Raw genomic sequence first — 7233 nt, 5'->3', positions numbered from 1 at the left:
GGAGTAAACGAGTTGCTGCATGAAATTTCATGCCGATAACAGGGCCCGGCCCAGAGTAAGGGCTGGATAAGAATCAGCTGTTCTTTTTAATCGTATTAATGCAGGAACTCCAGAAACTGACGTCTAGGGAACAAGTTAGGGTTCTCCCCTGTAAACCTTTGCAATCTGTTTGAACGTGAGGAGCGGCTGCCACAAAAAGAGAAGCAGGGAAGAACTGGGGGGGCCCGGATTTCCAGTCGTTTCCCCTTCCTGACTGCAGATACAATGACCCGCCACCACTTGGCTTTGTAAATTCAGAGCACATAGGCTTCTACTGATTGTGGACACCAATTTCAGAAATTGGCACTAGGAGTGTGGGAAAATCAAAACGAGCCCTTTGCACTGTTTGAGTTTTTTTTTTTTTCTTCCCACTTCCAGAGTCTCCATTACAGCCTAAAATATAATGAAAGTAGCTCTCATAACCAAACTTGAGTACCTGCCACTCCTGTGGCCCCCAATTATAACCTCCCCGTATTCTTAGTTCGTCCAGAATGGGAGGTTCCTAAGCTTTTTTGTGCTAAAGATGCCTATGGCAAGCTGGTCAAGCCCTTCTCAGGATCATGTCGTTACATGCATAATATAAATACACAGAAATACAAAGGAAACCAGTGCTATTGTGATACAAGGTGTTGGGGGGTTTTTTTGTTGTTGTTGTTTTGTTTTTGTGTTTGTTTTTTGGTTTTGTGTGTGTGTGTGTTTTGTTTTTGTTTTGAGACAGAGTTTCACTCTGTTGCCCAGGCTGGAGCACAGTAACACGATCTTGGCTCATTACAACCTCTGCCTCCTGGGTTCATGCGATTTTCGAGCCTCAGCCTCCCGAGTAGCTGGGACTACAGGCATGAACCTGGCTGAAAACGAGAAGTTTTAAAAACACACGAATATACATGCATATATTTCTATTAGCCATCAGAGTGATGACATTATCACAGGTCAGGTAGTCTCTGGAGAATGAAAAGGACAAACGTCTTAATATCATTATGAAAATACTTTTGACCTCACTAGCCCCTGAGAAAGGTCTTGCGGACCCACAGGTGCCCCCAGACCACATTTTGAGAACTGCTAGATTAAAGTGTAGTAAAAGGAGAGGTAAAAAAAGTTTCCCCTATCCAAGTTCACGTAGCTCCTGAATTCCCAACCACCAGCCCAGGTGAAAAGAGCCCACTGGAGTTGCCTCTGGTTGGACCCTGACTGGCGGATGAGGGCTTATAGCTCAGGTATAAGCTTGCGGTGGGGAATGGAGCATCGACTCTGGGGCTAGATGGCCTGGTTATAAATCTATCTTCAGCACTGACTAACTTAGACAAGTGATTTAACCGCACGGTGCCTCGGTTTCCCCATCTGTGAAATGGGAACAATAGTAGCACCTTATAGGGTTGTTGCAAGGATTAAATAATAAACCCCTTAGAACAGTGCCTAGCACAGAGCAAGTGCCCCCGTATAATCTTCTAATTATCATTATAATAATTAGAAGATTATTGATAATAATCTTCTAATTATTACCAAGACATCTAGTCTGCCCAGTTTGTAAGGCAGAGTTTTAATAAGCCTAGTTTTCTAAGTCACTTTACTCTGTCCCCCAGGCTGGAGTGCAGTGGTGTGATCTCGGCTCACCGCAAACTCCACCTCCCGGGTTCTAGCCATTCTCCTGCCTCAGCCTCCCAAGTAGCTGGGACTACAGGCACGTGCCGCCACACCCAGCTAATTTTTTGTATTTTTAGTAGAGACAGGGTTTCACCTTGTTAGCCAGGATGGTCTTGATCTTCTGACGGCGTGATCCGCCCGCCTCGGCCTCCCAAAGTGCTGGGACTGCAGGCGTGAGCCACCGCGCCCGGCCTTGTATTTTTAGTAGAGACGGGGTTTCACTGTGTTGGCCAGGCTGGTCTCGAACTCCTAGACTCAAGTGATCTGCCCACCTCGGCCTCCCAAAGTGCCGGGATTACAGGTGTGAGCTGCTGTGCCCAGTCAATTTAAACCTTTTAAATTATGAAATGTGATATACATGCAGAAAAGTAATGAGACATAAATGTCCCACTGAATAAATATGACAAAGTGAACACAACTGTGTAACCACCAACCGGGTGCAAGAAAAATAATCTTATCGCCTTCCCCCAAGCCCCCTCCTGCTTCCTCTCCAGCACAGCTTTCTTCCTTCCCATGAAGAAATCCACTTAACTTTTACCTGACTTTGGTTTCCCCACCTAAGTACACCTCCCTACACACAGTGGTTTCATTTTGCCTATTTTTGCACATGGCGTAAATAGAAATATACAGGTTTAACTCTTTCACTCAACTTTATGATTGGGAAATGTATCTGAGTTGGGCGCATAATTGCAACCCATTTTCTTTCTCATTGCCAAGCAGCCCTCCACTGTGTGAATACACCCCAATTTATGTATCACTGGTGGTTTTTTGTTTGTTTGTTTTTGTTTTTGTTTTGTTCTTTTGAGACGGAGTTTCGTTCTTGTTGCCCAGGCTGGAGTGCAATGGGGTGATCTTGGCTCACTGCAACCTCCGCCTCCCAGGTTCAAGCGATTCTCCTGCCTCAGCCTCCTGAGTAGCTGGGATCACAGGCATGCACCACCACACCTAGCTAATTTTGTATTTTTTAGTAGAGATAAGGTTTCACCATGTTGGCCAGGCTGATTTCGAACTCCCGACCTCAGGTGATCCGCCTGCCTCAGCCTCCCAAAGTGCTGGGATTACAGGCGTGAGCCACCGTGCCCAGCCATCAGTGGTTTATTTATCAATTTATTTATCAGTTGGTTTATCTATCAAAACCAATTGTCAATGGAATTTTGAGTTACTTCCTTTTTTTTCGGCTTTTGCAAATAGTGCTGTGATCAACATTCTAGTACATATTTTGTTAAACATATATACACATTTCTCTTGGATGTAAACTAGAAGTATAAGATGGCTGGGTCATAAGGTGCATGTATCTTTATCTTTGGTAGATACAGCCAAAGAGGTTTCCAAAGTGGTATTTCTTCTCCTCCCACCAGCCACGTTAGAACACTTCCATTGTTCCACATCGCTGCCAACACTTGGAACCAATAAAGCATTGTCAGGTGCTTTATTTTTAGTCATTCTGGTGGGTGTGTAGAGGTAGCTCATTGTAGCTTTAATTTGCATTTCCCTGCTGAGTAATGAAATTGAACATCTCTTCATTTGCATATCAGCCTTTTGGATATCCTTTTTGTGATGTGCTTGTTCAAGTGTCTTGTCCGGTTTTCTACTGGGTTGTCCATTTTTATTGGTTTATTTATTTTTATTTTATTTTATTTTTTAGATAAAGGGTCTTGCTCTGTCACCTAGGCTGTAGTGCAGTGGCATCATAGCTCACTGCAGCCTCTACCTCCCTGGCTCAAGCAATCCTCCCACCTCAGCCTCCCAGTAGCTGGGACCACAGGCATGCACCACCACCATGCCTGGCTAATTTTGTTTATTTCTATTTTTATTTATTTATTTATTTGAGACAGAGTCTCACTCTGTTGCCCAGGCTGGAGTGCAATGGCATGATCTCGGCTCACTGCAACCTCTGCCTCCCGGGTTCAGGCTATTCTGCCTCAGCCTCCCGAGTAGCTGTGATTACAGGCGCCTGCCACCATGCCCGGCTAATTTTTGTATTTTAGGCAGAGACGGGGGTTTCACCATGTTGGCCAGGCTGGTCTCGAACCCCTGACCTCAGGTGATCCACCCGCCTCGACCTCCCAAAGTGCTGGGATTACAGGTGCGTGCACCACGCCCAGCTAATTTTGTTAATTTTTTTGTAGGGACAAGGTCTTGCCATATTCCCCAGGCTGGTCTTGAACTCCTGGACTCAAGTGATCCTCCTGCTTTGACCTCCCAAACTGTTGGCATTACAGGAGTGAGCCACCGCATCTGGCCTCTTCTGTTATTTTCCAATAGCTTTCTCATGTGAGTTACCCTTAGGTTGGCAATCTATCTGGAACTGATTTTTGTGTACGGTGTAAGTTAGGGTTTTAAATTTTATCAAAGTAATGCACATAGCTAATAAAATAAAAATAAATGAGTCTACTTTCTTAAGGAGACTTCTTTAAAAACTATTTCTCCATTATGAAAATAGTAGCATCATTGGCCAGCCTGTAATCCCAGCACTTTGGGAGGCCAAGGTGGGCAGATCACGGGGGCAGGAGTTCGAGACCAGCCTGGCCAACGTGGTGAAACCCCATCTCTACCAAAAATACAAAAATTTGCCAGGCATGGTAGTGAGCGCCTGTAATCCTAGCTACTCAGGAGGCTGAGGCAGGAGAATCGCTTGAACCCGGGAGGCGGAGATTGCAGTGAGCTGAGATCACACTATTGCACTCCAGCCTGGGCGACAGAGTCAGACTCCGTCTCAAAAAATAAAAAGAAAAAAGAAAATATTCACATCTCATTACTGAAAACTTAGAAAGAGCCAGGGAGGTTTCATGGCTCAAGGAACTAACAAACCTGGGTTTTGTTTTTGTTTTTGGAGACAGGGTCTCACTCTGTCACCCAGGCTGGAGTGCATTGGTGTAATCATGCAATCATAGCTCACTGTGACCTCAAACTCCTGTCCTCAAGCAATCCTCCCACCTCAGCCTCCCAAAATGCTGGGATTATAGGCGTGAGTCACTGTGCATAGCCACAAACCTGGGTTTGAATTCTGGTTCTGCCACTTTGTGACTGGGTAACCTTGGGTGAGTGTCTGCTCTTGTGTTAGCCTCAGTGACCTAATATCTAAAACTGATACAACAGTGCCTACTTTGCAAATGCTTGGAAAGATACAGCAAGTAAAACGTGTAACACGGGGTGGGGCTGATCAAGAAAGAGCTCCATAGATAATAGCCACAATTATTTACAAAAGATTTCATTCAATCACTCAGTGGCCATTGAGAATGCTTGGAGCATTTTTTCTTGTACACAGGAATTGGGCTGAATCACGGTCATACCACAGTCTGACGTTATTTTTACTGGACTCTTCTAAGCATTCTTTGATACTGGCTCATAATATTCCATTGTGTGGTTTACTTTACCCAATCTGAGAGATGCCATCCATGGAAAAAAGCCAGGGCTTTGGAGACAGACAGCTTGCGTTTAAACCCAGCTCCAGCATTGAGTAGCTGTGAGCCATTTGCCTCTCTGTGCCTCAATTTCCACATCTGCAAAATGGGGATAATAAACCATGCTGTATATTTGACGTATTTTAGAGAGTTGTGAGAATTAGATGAGTGAATGAATGGATGTAATGAACTAAGACCTGTGGTAAAAACAGCACTTGTTATAAACCGAGTCCTTAAAAATCTTAATAGAAATATTTCAAGGTTTTAGCTGGGTGCGGTGGTACATACCTGCAGTCTTAGCTACTTGGGAGGCTGAGGCAGGAGGGTTATGTGAGCCTAGGGGTTCAAGACCAGCCTGGGCAACATAGTGAGACCCCCATCTCTAATTTATATATGTATAGTTATATATGTACATATATAAAGAATAGTAAGATGTAGGCTTTTTGGGTTTGGTTTTTTCTTTTTCTTTTTTTTTTTTTAAAGTCAGGATCTTGCTCTGTTCCCCAGGCTGGAGTACAGCGGTGCGATCTCAGCTCACTACATCCTCAACTTCTCGGGCTCAAGCAATCCTCCCACCTCAGCCTCCTGAGTAGCTAGGACTACAGGCTCACACTGCTACGCCCGGCTAATTTTTGTATTTTTTGTAGAGACGAAGACTTGCGATGTTGCCCAGGCTGGTCTCAAACTCCTAGGCTCAAGGGATCCTTCCACCTTGGCCTCCCAGAGTGCTGAAATTACAGGCGTGACCCACTGTGCCTGGCCAAGAATAGTAAGATGTTAATGATAGAATCCAGTTGGATATATGGCGGATATATGTGTGTTCCTTGTAAAGGTCTTTCAGTTTTCCTGTGCATTTGAAAATGTTCATAATAAGATGTTGGGGAAAATGCTTGGGGACATCCACGTAGTTGCTGTTGTCGACCTTTATGGTGAAGCCACAGCAGCAACTGATTCCCGAGTGATTGACACGCTGTGTGTTCATTTAATGACCCTGACAATCTTTAATGCAGACTTTAGAAATTTTACAGATGGACCCATTTTACAGACGAGGAAACTGAGGCTCAGCAAGGCTAAGCACCTTGTCGTGTGACCTACAGGTCACCGACTGGGTGGGGGGCAGACAAGGTGAATGGTAGAGGGACAGCTCCCTTCCAGAAAGAACGGTAGCATGCACCTGGGGACAGGGACCAGGGCTAACAGGTCTTGGGGTCCCCCCGGGAATGATCCCCGTTATCGCAGCTTCCCTGTATGGAGTGCTTGGCTGTGTGCCGAATGCTCTGCATGAGTAATCCCATTGATACTGCATGCTGCTTATTAAGCCCATTTTATAGATGGAGAAACTGAGGCTAGAGACATTGAGCAGTTTACCTAAAATCACACAACTGGTGTGTGGCAGAGAAGCCAGGACTAGAACCCTGGTGTGTCTGATTTCAAAGCCTGGTGTGTGAAAACTTTTTTTTTTTTTTTTTTGAGACAGAGTTTCGCTCTTGTTGCCCAGGCTGGAGTGAAATGGCATGATCTCGGCTCAATGCAACCTCCGCCTCCCGGGTTCAAGCGATTCTCCTGCCTCAGCCTATGGAGTAGCTGGGATTACAGGTGCGCACCACCATGGCTGGTCAATTTTTTGTATTTTTAGTACAGATGGGGTTTCGGCATGTTGGCCAGGCTGGTCTCGAACTCCTGATCTCAGGTGATCCACCCGCCTTGGCCTCCCAAACTGCTGGGATTACAGGTGTGTGAATACGTTTAGGAGTGACTCTTCCCTGCTTAGAATATTATCCAGTGTGAAATGCTGTCAGCTCCACCTTCCAATCTATCCAGAACCTGCCCAATTCTGCAGCCCCTACCCATCCTCTCCTTCCTGGGCTGTCTCAGCAGGTCCCTCCCTGGTCTTCCCGCTCCCATCCTGTCCCCCTCCTCACCCCCTGCAGTCTGTCCCTCACATGTAACCAGAGGGGTCCTGTGAACACCTGAGTCAGATCACGTCTCTCACCTGCTCAAAGCCCTCCTGATCCTCTCACTCAGGGGAAAGCCAGAGACCTCCTTATGGCCCACGAGACCCCACGTGACCTCCCCGTCACTTCTCTTTCCTTATCTCTTACTACTTGCCCCTCACCCACACTGGTTCAGGCACCAGGCTTCTACGCTG

General features: G+C 45.9%; 1 annotated feature.

Annotated features, from left to right (window-relative positions):
• Positions 4799 to 5093: a silencer, noted in NCBI's record as "tiled region #11111; HepG2 Repressive DNase matched - State 9:DNaseU". NCBI's record gives its function as "represses a minimal TATA promoter and a strong SV40 promoter by Sharpr-MPRA in HepG2 cells {active_cell/tissue: HepG2}" and the evidence as "EXISTENCE:reporter gene assay evidence [ECO:0000049][PMID:27701403]".

The sequence above is a fragment of the Homo sapiens genome, chromosome 19 (genome assembly GCF_000001405.40).
Source record: "Homo sapiens chromosome 19, GRCh38.p14 Primary Assembly".
Taxonomy (NCBI): domain Eukaryota; kingdom Metazoa; phylum Chordata; class Mammalia; order Primates; family Hominidae; genus Homo; species Homo sapiens.
This window is presented reverse-complemented; position numbering and strand designations above follow the sequence as displayed.